This window comes from Homo sapiens, chromosome 9 (assembly GCF_000001405.40).
Source record: "Homo sapiens chromosome 9, GRCh38.p14 Primary Assembly".
NCBI classification, from domain to species: domain Eukaryota; kingdom Metazoa; phylum Chordata; class Mammalia; order Primates; family Hominidae; genus Homo; species Homo sapiens.
Window position 1 is genome coordinate 123,543,542 of NC_000009.12, and position 20,720 is coordinate 123,564,261.

A 20,720-nucleotide genomic window follows, 5' to 3' on the forward strand; every position below is an offset into this window, starting at 1 on the left:
CTGGAAACTGACCACTCCTCTGCTTCGTCCTCAGCCACGCTCCTTCTGTCCCTGCTCCAGCCACAGGGGCACTCACAGTACCCGACCGTGCCACATGCTGTCAAGGCCGCTTGCCTCTGCATGTGCTACTTCCTGCCCCCTGCTCCTGGGGAGCTCCTATTCCTCCGGTAAGGCCTTATTCCAGACACATCCGTCCCTGGGAAGCTTCCCCGCAGCACCCAATCTGCAGTGATTAGCCCTGTGCTGAAATGTCTCCCAGCTTGCACATTCTACTATAGCAGTTCCCACCCCTTACTGCAACTCTCTGCTTCCTTTCCTTCTCTGCCTCTCACTGTCTTTAACAGTGACCAGGTCTTATTTGTCAGTGTGTGTGCAAGTCAGTGCCCTGGTCAGGTCTGCGGTGGGGACCACTATTGTAAGATTTCAAATGCTTGTTCCATGTTGTGCTAACAAGGCTTGACTATAATAGACTTCAAATTCACTATAAATCAAAATTCCATTGTTAATACAATCCCTAATAAATAAACCTTATATGAATGTGGCTTTTATCATGATTGTCAATAATTTGCTTTTGTAAAATCCTAACATCAACTGAAAAACAACCAACAAGAAATATGGATTAACACTGCTGTGAGAAAGCTAGCCACTAGGTGTCAGCCCAGGAAAAGAGGAGGAAGGGCTACACTTCCCAGCGTTTTAAGTTTTCATCCAATTATCACTACAAATATCAAATATTTAAACAACAAAATATTAGCCAATTAAAATTATCTATTAAAGGAATGTTTTAAAAAAGATATATAAAATTTTGACATTACCCCTTGCAAAATAGTTTATAAAGGTTGTTAGTTTAACCTGTATTTGTCAAGAAACACTTGTATAGATTAGAGAAATTGACTCCTAAGAGGGAACCAACTCAGTTTTCTTCTGAAATGCCCTCAAATCACATGTAATATGAACCACATGGTAATCACCATTGTGGAGTGCAGTCAGAGAAAAGAGCATGGTCACCAGAACCAGGCAGATGGAGGGGCCAATCCTGTCTCTGCCACTTCTTAAAAAGTGACAATCTTTCCTAGCCTCAGTTTCTCATCAGTAAAATGGGGCTGTGCATGCTCTCCACAGGGGGGCTGTAAAAAGGGGAATATATATAAAGAGCCTAGCATATAACAAATGCTGTTCTTTTCTTTTCCTTAAGACTTCAGGTCTTAATGATTTATTTAACGAAGCTGTTTTATAGCTTCCAAACAACTAAGGACATTATAAATAAGAACTATGTGCCAGGCGTGGTGGCTCACGCCTGTAATCCCAGCACTTTGGGAAGCCAAGGTGGGCGGATCACCAGGTCAGGAGATCAAGACCATCCTGGCTAACACGGTGAAACCCCGTCTCTACTAAAAACACAAAAAATTAGCCGGTCGTGGTGGCGGGCGCCTGTAGTCCTAGCTACTTGGGAGGCTGAGGCAGGAGAATGGCGTGAACCCGGGAGGTGGAGCTTGCAGTGAGCTGAGATCGCGCCACTGTACTCCAGCCTGGGCGACAGAGCAAGACTCCGTCTCAAAAAGAAAAAAAAAAAGAACTATGACAACTTCATTCATTCACATCCTACTGAGCACCTTCTATGTATCAGGTTCTGTGCCAAGGATACATGAGTAAACATGACATTCCACTGTCTTCTGGAGAAGGCTTCAATTTTCTTGTGGAAGGGTAGCCTAAGCCTGAATGTCATGTAGTCATATATTTCAGAGAATGCAACCGCACCCCACAGAAAATCAGTGAAGATATATATCCAAGAACTGAGGGTGGGGATGAAATCAACACAACTGTATCCTCTAATCATCACAGATATCATAATGTCCTATACAGAACAAATCCACCATCCCTCCATCAACTGTGTGCTGGGGGCATAGGAATAAGATCTCCTGTCTCCTGTTCTTTTTTTTTTTGAGACAGAGTCTCGCTCTGTCGCCCAGGCTGGAGTGCAGTGGCACGATCTCAGCTCACTGCAAGCTCCGCCTCCCGGGTTCACACCATTCTCCTGCCTCAGCCTCCTGAGTAGCTGGGACTACAGGCGCCCGCCACCACACCTGGCTAATTTTTTTGTATTTTTAGTAGAGACGGGGTTTCACTGTGTTAGCCAGGATGGTCTTGATCTCCTGACCTCATGATCCGCCCACCTCAGCCTCCCAAAGTGCTGGGATTACAGGTGTGAGACACCACGCCCATTCCCAAGATCTCCTGTTCTTAAGAAGTTCATAGTCTAGCTATGCATATGAAGTCACTTAGCACCATTTCAGGCTGCAAATTGTCAAATGTTATCATTGCTTGAAAATGGATCAGAAAGATTTCCTTTTCAGAGTCTCACTGAAAAAGTGAGAGACCCTAAAGTGAGAACATCTGATTTTAAAACACCAGTAGCAGCAACCGTTTCTCTTTGCCACTGCTTCCACAAAGATAGAGTATTTAAAACTGCCGTGGTGGCTTCAGCTTAATCCATGACTATAGTCCTCTCTTGTGTATTTCTAACTAGAAGAGAATATTTACTGGTCATGACAATTCTGCAGGAGATGATCCTCCCTAACTCTAAATGCCTGTGGTTAGCCACCATGCAGCTGCTGGGCTGTGCCTTCGCTTTACATTTACACATTCGTGATGTGGTGTTTGTGTGGCTTATTCCTCTCAGGTTCTAAGATGAAGCTGCAGCTGATACGTTTTAAAACTAAGTATTGGCCGGGCGAGGTGGCTCACGCCTGTAATCCCAGCACTTTGGGAGGCCAAGGTGGGCAGATCACCAGGTCAGGAGATCAAGACCATCCTGGCTAACACAGTGAAACCCCGTCTCTACTAAAAATACAAAAAAAAAAGTAGCCGGGCGTGGTGGTAGGCGCCTGTAGTCCCAGCTACTTGGGAGGCTGAGGCAGGAGAATGGTGTGAACCTGGGAGGCGGAGCTTGCAGTGAGCCTAGATCGCACCACTGCACTCCAGCCTGGGTGACAGAGCGAGACTCCATCTCAAAAAAAAAAAACAACAACTAAGTATCTCTATTGTGCAACACTGAAATATGACCACCAGCCTTTCTGATGTATAGCATGGGGAAACAGGTATCAGTCATTCATTTGTTCATCCAGTCAGTCAACATTTAATGAGCACCTACTAATACCAGACTATGTGAGGGACATCAATGTGTATAAAACATGGCCCCATGCTTTAAAGGAGCAAAGTAAGAAAGGAGCCAGGATTATTAAATGAGATCAAGTTAAAGCCTAGAATTCCTCCAGGATGGTGCAAGATATACTAGCTATGTTTTATTTTTCAAGTATTTCATATGAATTTCATTTGAACATATGGGAAATTTCATTTTGATCATATTCAGTTATGCTCTTTGAAATCATTCAGTTGAGATTGATCATAGTGTTTAAGTGGATTTCCTGCTAGTTCCCATCTTCTCTCACTTAGAGAGCTACTTTTTACTTGGGCAGTCTACTTCTAGAACAATGGTTCCCAGTTCATTGATCATTTATTGTGTGACTCCAAGGTAACAAGACTCTCAAACTGGGTTCTGAACAACATCAGTGTCCCTGTGACGTGGGCAGTGGAGATTTGGTGCCAATATTGAACAATGGTCATTTTTTCTCAATAGGCAACAAATGTTTTGATGAATTAAGCCTCAATTATATTTTCTCATATGCATTTAAAAAACTGACTGTAGGGCCGGGTGTGGTGGCTCACGCCTGTAATCCCAGCACTTTGGGAGGCCAAGGCAGGCAGATCACCTGAGGTTGGGAGTTTGGGACCAGCCTGATCAACAGGGAGAAACCCTGTTTCTACTAAAAATACAAAATTAGCTGGGCATGGTGGCGCATGCCTGTAATCTCAGCTACTCAGGAGGCTGAGGCAGGAGAATCACTTGAACTTGGGAGGCGGAGGTTGTGGTGAGCTGAGATGTCGCCATTGCACTCCAGCCTGGGCAACAAGAGTGAAGCTCTGTCTCAAAACAAAAACAAAACCTGACTGTAATTTTTTAAATGACTCTGATTTTCAACTCTTGGTACCTTCCACCCCTATTTGTCCATAATTGCTGGTGGGCAATAAAATGAATAAATAAATAAATAAATATTAAAGGAAATAATTAAATATGTGATTTATTTCAAATCCTTTATGTATCATTTGAGATAAAAGCCATACTTTCACAATTAGTTCAAAAGAAAGAATTAAATGGGCCAGAATAATTTCAGGGTGTTTTGCATGGCTCCAGGTTCTTGGGCACTTGTTGAACAAGTATGGACACCACTATTCTAGAATGTCGCAGTCTCATCTTTCCCTTCCTCCTTTACTTTGTCACCCAGGGATGGTCACTATCATTTAGTTAACATCTACTATCAGCAAGGCACTATGCTGGTGTTTGGTGCATATTATTGCTATTTTTCTCAAGAGTCCTGCTAGCTAGGCATTATTTACATCTTACACATGAGAAAAGTGAGTCTCAGGATGGTGAAGTAACTTCCAGAGTCATCTTCTAGTAGATGACAGAACTAGAATTAAAACCCAGGTGATTCCAAAGGCCATACTCCTTCCATCACATTCGGTGGCCTCCTTAGCCACTTAGAGCCACAGAGCTATAGTGATGGTCCCTGAAGTCCTGGGGCAGAAGCACCTCCCCTTATCCTTGCTTCATTCCCAGGACATGATCTTGACTTCAGATGACCACTAAAATGGGAAAAAATGTTAATTAGCAAGTTACCAGCCCCTTCTGCAGTCCCCTTTACACTCCCCCATCAATGAATCTGCTTAGCTCCGGCCTGTAGGTTTTGGCTATAATTCCTTATCCACTTGCCTAAAATATACCGGAAAATAAAACAAATGTTTCATGAACTTTTCCTACAGATATTCTTGGGTCCATATTCGTGCTTCCCACAGACACTGCTACCCACTTAACAAAAGCACGGACTCTGTGAAAAACATTTTGGAGGTTCCTCAAAAAGTTAAACGTAGAATTACCAGATGACCCACAACTGCGCTTTTAGGTATATAGCCAAATGACTTGCAAGCAGGTGTTCAACTATTAATTATACACACACATTCACAGCAGCACTACTCATAACAGCCAAAACATAGAAACAACCCAGGTGTCCATTAACAAGTGAGTGGATAAACAAAATATGGTATATACAGATAGTGGAATATTATTCAGTCTTAAAGAGGGCTGAAGTTCTGATGCATGCTATAACACGGATGAACCTGGTGAACATGATGCTACCAAAATAAGCCAGGCAAAGGGACAAATATTGAATGATTCCGCTTCTATGAACTATCTAGAATAGGCAAATTCATAGAGACAGAAAGTAGACTAGAGGTTACTAAGGGCTGGGGGAAAGGGAAATGAGAAGTTCTTGCTCACTGGATACAGAGGTTCTGTTGGGAGTGATGAAAAATGTTGCAAATAGACAGTAGTGATGGTTGCACATTGTGAATGCCATTCATGCCAATGAACTGTATACTTAACAATGGTTAAAATAGCACATCTTATGTTATATGTATTTTTTACATTTTTTTTCCTTAAAGCATGGGCTCTTTAGACAGACCTGGGTGTGATGGGGTGAGTCCCAGCTCCACCACTCCCAACCTGTGTGGAGGGTCACAGAGCCTCACACAGACACACAGCTGCACACACACATCAGTCCCTTCCAGGCGTCATGCAGTTTCCTCTTTCTCCCGGTTTCCTTGCTTCCTTATCTCTCATCTTGCTGTACTGTACATAGTGTCTTAAGGTTCCTCAAACCTATTTTCAGCACAAGATGGGGGCACAGACAAATTAGTCACATCCCTTATGTGTGTTCTGGGAATCCTCTGCTTGTCTGTGTGGAGGGCAGGGAGTGCGCACCCTCCCACCCATCAAGGGTTCTTGATTCTTTTTCCATCTTGAGCCACCGCGAGGCTGAGTCAACCGAAATCTGCTTTCTTGCGATGCTGTGACAAGTTGGCCCCCACAGTCAGGCTCCTGCTCACAGACTCAGTTCTTCCACTCAGAAGGCTTTGAAATACAGCATTTCAAAGCTTTATTCACAAAGATGTTTAGTGGAGTATTACTTATAATATCAAAAGACTGGAAATAACCTAAATGTCCAACAAGGGAGGGTGGTTATGGAAATTATGGTAGTTATACTTGATGGAATATTCTGCAGTTATGTAAAAATGCATATGAAATCTTGTTAAATGGGGGCGGGGAACTAACTTTTAACTGAGATTTGCTTGTACCTATGTAAACCCTTTGCATAATGAAAAAATAAAGAGTAAATACAAAAGGCATATGTAGTAAAAATCAGTGGGACTATGGTGCTGTTTTGATTTTACTACTTTAAAAATATTTTTCTGCTTTCCACTACACCAAAAACAAATCCGAAAACAGTTTTTATTGTTTTTTCATAAACAACTTGAGATCAACAGGGTTACTCAATCAGGACACAGATATATGTGGTGTTTTTCCAACCTGCTCCAACACAACCTCGTGCATTCATCCTTGAAAGCCAGGCTATCAATCTGCTTTTATCTCAACTTCTGCGTCCTCCAGGGGTTTTAGGTGGATAAATATGACTCAGCAGAATCACATGCAAAATCATGGGCTATAAGGTGGATGATACCAGTGTACCCACAGCTGAATCTGGAAGCTGGCCTCTTGGGATGAACTAAGCAAGTGGGACCAGAGTGAGCTGGCTGCTGCCTGTTTAAACAGTTTGCTTACTGCCCCCACCCAGCATTCGCTCCCTGTGGGCAGTAGCTCTGTTCCCTTTATCTTAGGGAAGCCCAGCTAGCAGGTTGGCCCAGAGAGGGCCACACAAGCTAGCTGAATAAACAGCTCCCATAGTGCTCCATCTACACTGGCCTTTCCACAGACACTGGCACAGAAGAGGACGCGTCTTCAAACACCAATACCCATGGGTTTTGCTCTTTAACCTAACATATACCAAGGACCTGCGGTGGGCCAGACATGGGGAGAGGAACCCTCACATGCACCGTCATGCAGCATGGGTTATGAAATAAGAAACTCTAAGCAGAAAAGGGGATGAATTGAAAGCACACAAATCTATCTGCAAAAGTTCTTTAAAACTGAGACCAGCGTGTGTGAAATGTGTTTCGAGGGGGGTGTATTAGCCTTATTCAGATTTCATGATGATATAATTTTAAACAAAGGAGTGAGGTAAAAGATTGTTTAAAAAATTCTTTCGTTCTCTCTAGGAAGGAGGAATATTCAAGGCAAATTTTAGAACCATACTGCTACACATATCCTCCAAAAGTTGCAATCTTCTACCATGCAGAGAAAGGACCCTCGGCCTAGCAATTAAACTCATTTGTCTTTTATCCCCTTCTTGCCAAAAAGGACCCCAGCCCTAACTAGTTAATCCCTAACACACACTGCTACTCCCAGAGTTGCCTGGCAACTGCTAGGAGGCGTGTCAGAGAGCAAGAAAGGCCTAAATAAATGAGCTGGAGCCTGGGCTGCCGCTTGACATGGATAAAGGGGGTTTCTCTGGATGGGGCTGCCTGGCTGCTGGTAGCTCTGTCATTTAAGTCGAGAAGGACAAGTTGGTTTGACTGATATTGTTAAATATCTTGGGCTTTGCATCTGATTTTCTCCAGGTGACCGAAAAATGGGCCACATGCCCTTGTGATTTGCAGACACCTTCCCCTCTATCAGGAAGCAGCAACCTCTGAAGCCCATAGATAGGACAGGATGCAATGTGTATGCACCAGAGGCCAAGTGGAGCCCCTCTGCCTCAAATGCTTCCCTATTCCCTAATTTCCTTCACCCATTCTCCCGTCTATTATTCCAAAATATATTCACTGATACCTACACACGGTGCCACGACCTGTGCCTGGTATTGGAAATGCAGAGAGTTACTAACACGGAACATGTGGAAACTAGAACAAAGACAGGCGGGAGGATGTGTTGGAGGGAACCTGGGTTTGGAGGCTGTCTGCTGGCTCTGCTGCTTCCTAGGAATCACTGCAGCCTTCGCTCCATCCCCTGTGTGTAAAGGGCTAGTGAGGGGCTGGGATGGAGAATTACTGAGAGCACGGATGGGAAGCAACTCGGAGTTGAACTGAGTGCTGACCCTGTGGGAGGCCACTGAGGTGAACTTGGCAGTGACTGGACACCCCTGGCATCTCAGTTTCTGACCCTGAGAGAGTCCTTTGGAATAATTCACCCGGCCCTGAAGACACACATCACCAGGGAGCCAACACTGGCCCTCCCCGCCCTGAGCCGGGCACCCAGCCTCCCCAACAAACCCGCAGAAAGCACAGATGGGGAGGAGAAGCCTAGCTCCTGGCACAGGGCTGGGCCTCAGCAAGCGGTCCCCTTCCTTCTTCCTTCTGGATCTGGTAAAGAAAACAAAGCTCAGGAGTCCCCCAGCCAGCTGCATTCTGAATTTTTTCATTAGGAAAGAGAGAGAGAGCGAGAGAGAGCGAGAGAGAGCGAGAGCGAGAGAGAGAGAGAGAGAGACAGAGAGAGAGAGAGAGAGAGAGAGAGAGAGGCCAAGGTGGTAAAAATCTCAAGGGAGCTCTGAGCCAGGGAAAAGTTCTTCAGACGTGACTGCAGAGGAGGAGATGCCCACCTCTGCTTCTCAGGCCAGAGCTCGACCCCTCCTTACAGAGCCAGGCAGGCCACGGACTGGAGCTGTCCCCCAACGGGCTCCAGACTGGCAGGGTCCTCCTCAGAGGGAGGAGGTGGGCGAGGGCAGGGTTCTGCCCATCTTCCCAGGGCCGTCAGGACAGGCACCGTGCTGGGCTTATTTAAGCCTCACTACACTCCTGCAAGGAGGGGATTACACATCCACCTTATGGAAGGGGAACTGAGGATTGGAGAGGTGAATAACTGCTCAGGGTCCAGGGAGGCAGAAGCAGAGCAGACAGGAGCCCGCTTAGGTCCCTCATGTTTCTGTTTCCAACAAAACACAGCACTGTGACTGCAGTAACCTGACAGCCATGACCCCACCTCCACCTCCCCCACCTGTATGGGCAGTACCCCAGGACCCTGCATGGTGGGCACTGTTGTGGAGGCACTGTGAAGCAGGGAGCACAGGTGAGCCAGAGGGCTGGTAGCACTGCAGCTGGGCTGCCCTGCGTGGCGTTCACATACCTGGCCTTCTACCCTGCAGGCTCATTCTGCCCCCAGTGACCTACTGTTCTCAGGCCCTGCCCTGGCACCCGCCTCAGGGGCCATTCCCTGCAGACATCCCCCTGTGTCTGCTCACCAGCTTTCTCTCACACCTTATGTGCCAAAGGCCTTAAATGGACTCACATCCGTTTACCCAGTAAATCCATGTCAAGGAATCCGCCTAAGAAAATAATTCAAACCATGCATAAAGATTTATATAAAGATGTTTAGCACAGTGTGGTATCATGAAACATTACTGACAATCAAAAAGACCAGCATGCCGGGCACGGTGGCTCATGCCTGTAATCTCAGCACGAGATTTGGGAGTCTGGGGCTGAAGGATCACTCGAGCCCAGGAGTTGAAACCAGCTGGGCAACATAGCAAGACCTTATCTCTACAAAAATTAAAAATAAATTAGCTGAGTTCAGTGGCATGCACCTGTAGTCCCAGCTAGCTGGGAGGCTGATGTGGGAGGATCACTTCAGCCTAGGAGGTTGAGGCTGCCATGAGCCATGATCATGCCACTCCAGCCTAGGCAATAGAGCGAGACCCCGTCTCAAAATAATAATAATAATACAATAGTAAAATAATTTTTTTTTAAAGACCAGCACTAGGAAAAGATGGTGGGCCTTGGCTCTGATTTCAGATCACAGGAACTTGACAGAAATCTCTGAGGGGGGCCTGGACATTTGCCTTTTTAAAAGCCGCCCCCCCCCCGCTCCTCATCCCTCCGTGATTCTGATCCGCGGCCAGGGTTGGGAACCACAAGGGTCACCTGATAGGCTCTGCTCAGCCACTGTCAATGATGTCTAAGAAGAGTTTTTATGTGGTGTGGAAAATGCTTACACAAACTAAAAGGCAAAAAAAATATTAATAACTAGGATACTGGATTGCTTTCTCAGGCATATCTCATCTGCCTAGAAGGAAGTTAAAAAACCAAAACCCAAAAATGTAAAAACAAAAGAAACGAAAAATCCTAGAAGCTGGATGGAAACCTGCCACCACTGTATCTCACCTTGCGACGATAGGATTATGGGTGGTGCTTTCTCATTTCTAGTCCTGTTACTTCAAACCTTTTTTTTTAAGAGTTAGTCTTGCTCTGTCACCAGGCTGGAGTACAGTGGCACAATCTTGGCTCACTGCAACCTCTGCCTCCTGGGTTCAAGTGATTCTCCTGCCTCAGCCTCCTGAGTAGCTGGGACTACAGGTGCGTGCCACCACGCCCAACTAATTTTTGTATTTTTAGTAGAGACAGGATGTCACCACGTTGGCCAGGATGGTCTCAATCTCTTGACCTTGTGATCCACCTCTCTCGGCTTCCCAAAGTGCTGGGATTATAGGCGTGAGCCAATGAAGAGCAGGTGCTATTTTTATAACCAGAGAAACAACAAAAAGACAAGTGGCCTTGGGGAGGGCCTCAGCACACCCTGGCAGGCTCACTCAAGGCACCATCCTCCCCCCGATGCAGCCAACGCCTCCTCCCTATTTCTTGGGCTCATATGTACTTTGCAGTCATTATTTTAAACTAATCCGCTCAACATTTTTAAAAGACAGGGTCTCACCCTGTTGCCCAGGCTGGAATGCAGTGGCACCATCTTGGCCTACTGCAGCCTCAAACTCCTGGGCTGAAGTGGTCCTCCTGTCAGCCTCCCAAGTAGCTGGGACCACAGGCATGTGATACTACATCCAGCTAATTTATTTTTTGTAGAGATGGGGTCTCTCTATGTTGCCCAGGCTGGTCTTAAATGTGCCACCATGCCTGGCTGCCCCAAGCAATCTTACATGGGGAATGTTGTTACATCATATTTTAGAAGAGGGGAATTTGCCAAAATTAAATCTATAGTTTAAAAACCATCTAGGTGACATGGTGATGACCACGACTTGAAGCTTGGTTGGAAAATTCCAGGCCTTCTGGTTTCCTTCTCCACCTTATGGAAGAAAGCCATTGTGGTTCAGATGAACAGGATTGAAAGGCTGACAGGTCTGCCATATTTCATTGATTCTAAGATGAAAATTACTTCCCATTGTAACATTTCTGAAATCTGGATGTGTCTTATAATTGGTGGCATCCTTCGATTATAATTGGCACCACTCTTTTCCCTTTCTTAATGGTACATAAACTAATAGTACATCTTATGACTGAACAGCATCTTACATTCAAGGACAAGTGCCATGTCTCCATCTAAATCCATCATGTTATCTCTAAGCTGATAGAATATTACATAGCCATTAAAACTATCATAAGACAGACTTTAATTTATTTCACCAGTTACCTAACATGGATACTCAGTATACTCCAGTGTTTTACCATTAGAAATGCTGCTACTGTGAACACCTTGGCATTAAGCATTTCCTTTTGCAACTAGGGGTGTCTTCATCCTCTCCTAGGCTCCAAATCTTGGGAGACATTTTGACACTTCTTGCTGTTCATCTCCCATATTTGATCTATTGCGGAGTCTTGCTACTTCCTCCTTCATGGTCCCTGTTCCTGGTGGAGCCACCCGGGGCTCTCTTCTGAGTTCCCATAACACTCCTCTAACTGGTTTCTCTGCCTCCAGCTCTCCTTTTAGTCCATCACTGTACTACTGCTCAAAGGCAACTTCAGTCATGTCACATTTCTGCTCAAAAACTTACACTCCTCACAGGGTAAAGTTCACTCTCTTAGCGTAGCATCCAAGGCTCCGCCAAATTTGGCTCTATCCTCTCCTGCAGCCCCATCTCCCCACCCAATTGCTCCAAAGAAAATGGCGCACTCACTGGCTATGAGGGGCCCTGTCTCCAAGCCTTTGCTTCCTCAGTTACCTCCACCCTCACTCTAGGAAGGGATGCTCCCTTCTTTCTTTTCCCAAACCTTACTCATCAGACCCAGTTCAAGTTTCACCTTCCTGATGAAATGTGTTATGGCTCAATTGATCCTCAGGAAGGACAGGCAGGCTTATCCTCATTTCACAGATGAAGAAACTGAAGTTTAAATGGATTAAATGGCTTGCTCAACTTTTAGACAGCTAAGAAGTGCAGAGCCAGGCTTGAAACTCCAGGGCTTCTGTCCTTAAATCCAGTGCCTTCCAGCACCTTGTGCAAGTACAACGATAAACTCCTCCCGTGGAGGAGCCTGTGCCCAGATCCTGCAGCAGCAATATGTCCCGAACTTCAGCTGCCTTTGGATTCCAGATGCACACAGGCCAACAATGAGATCACTGCAAGAGTGAAAATACTTCAAGTCTGTCCATTCCCAGCAACCCAAGCAAAGGATTGGGCCAGTTGTCCTATTCATTCCCATTTTAAAGGGGGGAAGACAACTGTATTTTCCTTGAATTGTGCCAGCTGTCACTGCTTTGAACCTGATTGGTTTGGCTGGACCCAAGATCGTGACAAGTAATCAGAGCCATGTCACTTTGAGACTAGCAGGACACTATCAAGAACTGGCTTTAAGCTGAAGGGCTTTCGAGAAACCTAAGGGAAATATGTCTCAGGAAGCAAAAAGAGAGTGTATCCCTTCTGCTATGTGAGCACACAGTGACGATGGCACTGCCCAAAGCTCAGGCAGCCTAGAGAGTAAGGCCTAAGTGCTAGATGGATAAAAAGGAGTAGGAGGGTGGGGTTAGGACGCTGCTCCCTGAGCACCCACTGCCCCGGCCACTTCACAGAGAGCAGGTCCTGGGTGATGGGGAAACAAGGTGTTTGCTGTTACTCTTTGTGTTTTACTTGAATACACGACGGAGTCAGAGCAGTAAAGATACTTACCAATGTATAATTGCGGCTTACAAGGAAGCGTGACCCCTGCTCACAATCAGAATTTCTATAAAGAATGCATTGTCTCACATCCCCTCATCTTTTGTGATTTGATCTAATTAAATGCTATAGGTTAAAGTAAAAATAGAAACAAACAGCCCCGGCCTATAGGCAGTGAAGCCAGTGCTGGTCCCTTACACCCAACTCTGATTCTGACTCCGACTAGGCTGGGTGTGACAGCGTCACTCACCCGTTCAAGACGAAGGCAGCCCTGTGCTCCTGGGAGAACAGGCCTGTCGGCAAGGTTTCCCTCCAACATTCTCCCCTCTGCAGGGTGACCCAGGTCCCTAGGCCAGTTCCTGCATTCTCCTCAACCAGAAAGCCAAGAGTAGGCCGAGGAGAGAAACAGCAAAGAAGAACTTCTCTCTGAAGCTAAGAGGACTGCTACTGCCCTTGGTTTCAGAGAAGACCTGCTGTCTTCACATCCTTGCAATCACGAGTCACTTCCTGAGGCAGGCAGGGGACATAGATAAGTCAACGAGGCCCAGAAAGGGGGAAGGGCCAGAGGTGGGCAAGGTCACTTCCCGGTCTTCATTGTGGTCACTTACACCAAAACCACTCTCAGGAGCCATGAGGCGTGAGACCCAGGAGGCTCTGCTTTCTCAAGCGTGGAGGAGCGGTCCCGTGAAAGAACAGGGGTGGCGAGGCCCAGTGGGAAAGCAGGGGCTCCGGGGCCATCTGGCTTTTCCGGGCTAAGTTGTTTCTCTTCCCTGAGTCTTGGTTTCCTCATTTGTAAAGTGGAGCTGATCACCGCTACTGCACAGGTGCACTGTGAAGCCCCAGGGAGAGCAGGTGAGTGTGAGGGGCCTGGCGCTGCATCTGACACGCGGTTGGGGCTTACTGTCTAGGGTGGTGCACAGGGCATAACAGCCCCCAGAGCAGTGAGGGTCTCACACATGATAGCACAGCCTCCTTGTGTTGAGAGGTATGGCAAGGGGAGTACACTGTCCCCCACCACAAACACACACAAGCTCTTCTAGATGAATCTGGAAACCAGAAGAATCATGGCATTTCTTGTGGCCCCTGAGGTATGCTTCTCAGCCCTGACCAAACACAGGCTCTGTGACATGCCAAGGCTACTCACCGGCTCGATTTTCAGAGCGTTTCGGTAGCTACCGAAGAAAGCAGCCTGGGCCTTGAGGAACGCTCTGGCCACACCATCCCCAGTGGTTGTGGAGACCTTTTTCAGCCTGTTCTTCAGGGAAGAGATCTGGTGATGGAGAGAAGGAAAACACAGGTTGAGGACAGGGTCAAAGTAGGGTGGCTGACTAAGCCCACTACATATGGAGCCCTGGAAGATCCTACGGATGGCAGGATCCATTTGATACCTCAGTTACTGGGAGGACAAAAACGTGTTCAGGCTGGGTGCAGTGGCACACACCTGTAGTCCCAGCTACTTGGGAAGCTGAGGCACGAGAATCACTGGAACCCGGGAGGCAGAGGCTACAGTGAGCCGAGATTGCGCCATTGCACTCCAGCCTGGGCGACAGAGAGAAACTCAGTCTCAAAAAAAAAAAAGTGTTCAGAATTAGGGCATGTTTTTGAAATTTAAATGAATGTTGTTCCTATTAGAACATGTCTAATAAAAACAAAAACAATTTTTAATGACTTACTCCATGCCAGGTAAGCACTTTTGCATACATTTTACAATTTAGTTATTTTAACAATCCGGTGAGGAAGGGATTAATGTTCCCATCTTACAAGGGTAAAACAGCCTCAGGGAGGTTAGGCTACATACCTAGCAACAAACTCAAGACATGGGCCACATTCCAATCAAAGTCTTGTAGTCTGGGCCCAAACTCAGACTTTCAGTTCCCATTCTATCCCCTCTTAAAGCTACTTACAAATGTTAGAATAAAGGCTTATTTATATTTCTCACACATCATACTCTAAAGGAAGTGTGGCAGCTTATACTAATAGACATGTACTCAAGAGGTTAAAACAAAAAACTCGGAAGTGATGGTAATGGGCAAAGAAGCACGTAATACATTTGGTATATAAATGTAAGCCACCAGGTCTTACATGGTGGCTAGAAATGAGCTTAAATTTGACTTAAAAGCCTCCTAGTAGCCAAAGCAAGGAGGGAAAGATGAAGGTTGTGAGACTCCACAGGTCCACGTACTACAAACAAACCCGTTGGCCAAATGGAATAAAGATTTTCCTGAAAAGTGAGACATAAAAAACAATGTAGGAAAGACTGTGTGACATGGTGGCTGTTGCCCTCAACATCAAGCTTCCCGGACTATTTCTAACATGCCCTTCATTCATCTCAAGATGCCACGCTTCAGAGCACACCTTTCACGCTGCGTTCCCCATAAGAGGAATTGTGCGACGTGGTGACCTCGAGTTATCCATTCACTCAGCAAATATTTATTATTTCCTATGTACCGAGGACTATGTTAGGTGTTGAGAATGCAAGGGATACAATGAAACCACACGTGGGTCTTGCCCTCATTCAGCTGACATTCTAGTGAGAAAAACAGGAATGCATGTGCCATTGCTACTGTGACGAGCCTGTAACAGAGCTTGTCAAGAAGGTCAAGGAAGGCTTCCTGGAGGGCAACAAGCTTGCACTAAGATCTGAAGGATGGGTGAGGGTGGTTAACTCAGCAAAGAGGGGTGAGCACCGCGTGCTAAGTACGGGGAGTGGTGTGCAAAGGCCCTGCAGCGAAGAAGAGTTCAGGGAACAGAAAGAACCCTGGCTTCGGTGGCGAAAATGAGGGGAATATGGCTTGAAATGAGGCTGGAGAGAAAGGCAGGGGCCTGAAGGGATTTTTTTCCTTCATCTTGAGAGAGAAACAGAAAACTAATGATTGGTTTTAAGCATGCAGGTAACATATCAAGAGCACGTTTCACAGAAACTAATTCTGTAAGAGACCAGCTACTGGTATGACATCATTTAAAGACAAAACTTAGGATAAAATAGAAAATTAGATTTAGGTGGTCCATGAATCCTTTACAGATTTTTAGTATGAATGAGTGAAGATTATTTTTCTGGGCGCAGGATCCACAGCTTTCCTCAGATTCCTAAAGGTGCCTGTGACCCTAGAAATATTAAGAATCACTTGCTGAGAAGTCTGGGGAAAAAAAAATCCGACCTGGGAAGGACTAGATCATACTTTAGAAATGATCCACGCACATTAGGTCTTGTACCCAAGCTTCTGATAAGAAAAACTTTTAATAGCTTATTGAGACATATTTCACATATAAAATTCATTCATTTAAAGTACACAGTTCGGTGGTTTTTAGTGTAGTCACAAGACTGTACAACCATCACTACTAACTCCAGAACATTTTTATTACCCCCGAAAGAAACCTCATACTCATTAGCTGTCACTCCCCATTACCTATCAATTTTTCCCCCACACCAGACCCAAGCAACCACTCACCTTCCTTCTGTCTCTACAGGTTGGCCTACTCTGGACATTTCATATAAATGGAATTAACAATAGGTAGTCTTTTGCCATCAGATTATTTCCCTTAGCACAGTGCTTTTATGAACAAGGTTCGTCCATGTTGTAGCATTGTGTCAAGACTTCATACTTTTTATGGCTAAATAATATTCCACTGTATGGATAGACCACATTTTATCGATCTGTTCATCTGCAGATGGACATTTGGGCTGTTTCTACTTCTTGGCTGTTATGAATAATGCTGCTACGAAGATTCATGTGCAAGCTTTTGTGTGGAGACAATGGAAATTTTGAGGTGACAATCTGAAAAGCAAAAATCCTCTGCCAGACCTTATGCAATGAAGACAAGCTGGAAGGATACATGAAGTCACCAAGCACAGTGCTCAGTGCCTAGGAAGCCATTCATAAATGTGAACTGTGTACAGGAAAACAATCCTTTGCTGTTGATAAAGGGCGTGCCTCATGTTTGGACACTAAACTGAGTGAAGATGGGACTGATACCCTCCTCTGATAAGTTAGAAGCCATGGGGACGTGCCCAGCGCTTTGGGAAGCCAAGGCAGGAGGATCGTTTGAGGCCAGGAGTTCAAAACCAGCCTGGGCAACACAGTGAGATCCCATCTCTATAAAAAATATAAAAAGATTTAGCCAGCCATGGTGGCACCTGCCTGTAGTCTCAGCTACTTAGAAGGCTGAGGTGGGAGGACTGCTTGAGCCCAGGAGTTTGAGGTTGCAATGAGCTATGATTGCACCGTGGCACTCCAGCCTGGGTGACAGAGTGAGACCCTGTCTCAAAAAAAAAAAAAAAGGAAAAGTAAAAAGCCCTGGGAACATACACTGAGGGGGTAGTTATCCCACCTCTACTCCAAGAGGGGACCATGGAAAACAATTCCTTTGGAAGCAGTTTGAAGTCTACCTCAACATCCGGGTATCTATAACTGATTTATTATGACCTCCCCTTATCAAGGACACATAAGCCCCAGCCCCACAGTGATGAGAGCCCCTGAGGAGCAATGCAGGCCACTCAGCACCCAGGCTGACTCTGCCATGGACTTCCACCTACAAAGAGAAGTATGAAAAAGCAGCATGCTCTATTAACATGCTAAAAATACTACCCACTCCCTGCCCCTGCCCCCAAAATAAAAATAAAAATCCTTCCCCTCCCAGGGACTACAGTGACATTTCCATCCTTTGAAATGGTGCAAGCCACTGTCGCTCTCCTTCTGGCTCCTCAAGGGCCTTGGGCCACCTGTGCCGCAGATTATTCCTCACTTAACCTTCCCTGGCCTTTCTCTTTCATTCGGGAGGTGTTTAATTACCTTGGATTCACAACGCTGCACTTCAGGTGAGCCTCTCCTAATGGCCTCATTACCATTTTACACAAAGAAGGAGTCGTTGATTGTAACTGAGCAAATACGAGTGTGTCCCTTCCTGCCTGCCCCAGCTGGTCTGAAACTAGCCAAGTGGTCCTGGGCTCCTGATGCCCCTGTGACCACTTAGGCCAGGACTTCTGAAGACCTCTTGTCACCCTGAAACATGGAGAAGCTTTTGTCTTGACCTGCCAGCACCTCAAACTTTGAAACTGCAAGTATCTGTGCATCTGATCGCTGGGGAGTAGCATTTGTCCTTTAAATAAAAGTAAGGGAAGACAATTTCAGGTTTAAACAACACAGAGTCATATATCTAAAGCTGAACTTGCCCTCAGTACCCCGAGGGGTGCTGGTCAAATCATTAACATCGGGATTCATCAGGGGTAATTTGGGTGTGTTGTAAGTGCTGGTGAGGATGGCTTCCTCCTTTAATCGGGTGTTATAGGAGGAAGACAAGGCAAAGGAAAGAGGGGGCAAAACTGAACTTGCCAGCTTCTGTCTAAGACGCCCTTTCCCCTCTGTGTGCCATCTTGGTTACCGCAGCATCATCCGGCCAGTCTCCTGGGCCAGGCGTCAGATGTCAGATTCCCTACTTCTCCCTCCTTCCCACAAACATTCTCCACATCTCCTCAACACCAACCCAGATATGCCCTGAATCCATCCTCTCCTCTCAGTGCCCATGACATTGGCCCTGCAAATTCAGCTCCATCACCCTCTCTGGCCCAGACTAGTGGAGCGGTTTCCTCAGTGGGCCTTCTTCTGCCTTCAGTTTCTCCTCAATGCCATTCACCCATATCTGTCCTAGTAATCTTGGAAAAATCCAAATCCAATCACTTTGATCCTCCATCAAAACCCTTCGGTGCCCCCGCCCTTCACCATCATCACCTTCAGAAAAACATCCAAACTTCCACGAGCAGACTGTGCAGGCTGTCCTCCATCAGCCTCACTTCCACCTGCCCCACTTAATGTTAAACTTGGATGTCCAGAAGCACAGGCTACTCTTCAGCCCATTTCCATGTCACTAGCTCAGTCCTGGCTGTCTCTTGTCCCTTCCTGTCCTGCTTGTGAACATCTATTCAGCCTCTGAAAGACCATCCAAGTCTCCATCAATGGGGGCCTCTGAAATACATTATCCCGCATCCTCACCAGGAAATATCACATAGCTGCCAAAAAGGACATGGCGGTACTCTATGAACTGACACAAAAAGATGTCTGTCAAATACTGTCGAGTGAGGAAAAACATGCAGGTTGCAGAGTAACATGTACAGCATGAACCATTTAAAAATTATATATAAATATATATGCAGTAAAAATCTAAAATGCTACATTACCAAACTTTAACCATGCAAGGATGCTTTCACTTTCTATTTTACACACTTGATTGTTTTGATTATCCTTTATAAAAAAGCATATGTTACTTTTATAATAAAGAATTAAAATGAGGTATTTTTCTTTAATAGTCAAATTACCCATTGCCTTGGGTTAAGGGAAAGAGGGAATCCAGATGTCCCCCCATCTGTGAAGCCTGCCCTGACCACTAAGTCTGGGCCTCCTTGGACTGAGCAGGTGGTTCCATGGTGAGCTGCAGTTTCTACCTCCTTTCCTGATGGACTGAGTTCCCCGCAGGGCCAGCAGCCAGCACAGTTCTTGACTCAGTGTACTCATGCAGTACTTTCTGCCAAATGAAAGAACGAATGAGCAAGTGCTTGACATTGTGAAAGGCATTTTCAGTGGCTGAGCCTCTCTGCTTGGAGGAAAGTCTAGGATCACATTCTTTAGTGACGGATCATTAGAAGAAACTGGTCTCTGTTGGAAAGGATGGGAAGAGAAAGTGATATTCATTCCTCTTCTGTAGAATGCCATTGCTAAGACACAACCACAATGGCAGGAGAAATGAACATCTATCTGCATGCTGAATGAGTCAGAGGGAACAAGGAGACTGGTCTTATACAACCACAAACTTACCACATCCAGTAACACACACAGTATTGCCCCGGCCCTGCCTTCACCCGACCGTGTACCCCTGTTCCTCCTTTCACTGGTCACTGTTCTCAACCTCTCAGGTCCCCTGGCTTCATCTACTCCTCTGTCCCCACTGCACTCCTCAGGCAGTAAAACATAGAGTTTGAATCACAGAAGCCTAGGTCTAAGATTGGCTTCGCTGGACCTGGCTTCCCTACTTTCTTAACCTTTCTGAGCTTTAGTTCTTTGGCTGTAAAATGAAGTATGTACAACATGTATACATTGTGAGGAGTAAAATATAATGGATATAAAATGAAGAATGGATGTAGTAGAGTGCCTGGCTTTTTTTAGTTTAGATTCATCTTTTACCAGTACTATTACAACAGTCTTTGAGCTCGTATCTCTTCCTCTATTCTCTTCCTAGTCTAATTCATCCTTCGCATTGAATTACCTTCCTAAAACAAGAGGTTATATCATGTCATTCCCTCTAAAATTTTTAGTGGCTCCCTACTGTGAATATAATAAAGTCTAAATTCCTTAGCACAATATTTAAGGCCTGTTATGGGCTTGGCTCAAGCTCCATTTGCACCTTTGTCTTCTACTTGATTTCAAAGGCCTCAAAACCCATTCGCAAACCTGGGATATTCTTTATCGTATTCTCTAACAAACTTTTTATTAAAAAATACAAGCCTCCAACTTTCTGTCAGAACAAATAGCTCTTTCTCAGGGCATGATGGCCTATTCCTTTGTTGATTCCTAATCTTTGCAGGTCCCATGCTGGAGATGTGCTGGAAACGGAACTGCAGAGGAGGGAGGGCCTGTCTCCCAAGGACTTCCAGTTTAGCCCCTACAAATCGGCTACAAGTTAGCTTACTGCTACTTCAGAAGGGGTTCTCATGTTGTATAAACCATCATCCTATTCTTTAGCCCTTTATATACCAGCAGTTTACATGTCTTTCTCCCCAGGAGAATGAAAATACCCTTTTAATACACATTAGTGCTCAACAAGTAGAGTGTTTTTCCTTTATCACTT

The 20,720-nt window shown here is 45.6% G+C and overlaps 1 protein-coding gene across 42 annotated transcripts in view, besides 1 other annotated feature; it reads right to left on the minus strand.

Annotated features, from left to right (window-relative positions):
* DENND1A (DENN domain containing 1A) overlaps window positions 1-20,720 on the minus strand; it is a 550,469-nt gene that overhangs the window by 163,884 nt on the left and 365,865 nt on the right. For 41 of the 42 annotated variants that reach the window (XR_007061334.1, XR_007061335.1, NM_001352965.2 and 38 more), the window contains one exon: window positions 14,029-14,154. Coding sequence is in view for 39 of the 42 variants with exons in the window: in NM_001352965.2 (NP_001339894.1) it covers window positions 14,029-14,154 (126 nt within the window). In the remaining 3 variants the exon portion in view is untranslated. Of the gene's footprint in view, window positions 1-14,024; window positions 14,155-20,720 lie in introns of all 42 variants that reach the window. The other variant, NR_148208.2, reaches the window with a different exon arrangement.
* Window positions 17,407-17,968: an enhancer, noted in NCBI's record as "OCT4-NANOG hESC enhancer chr9:126323227-126323788 (GRCh37/hg19 assembly coordinates)". NCBI's record gives its function as "activates a minimal SCP1, AML or CMV promoter by ChIP-STARR-seq in primed H9 embryonic stem cells {active_cell/tissue: H9 hESC(primed)}" and the evidence as "EXISTENCE:reporter gene assay evidence [ECO:0000049][PMID:30033119]".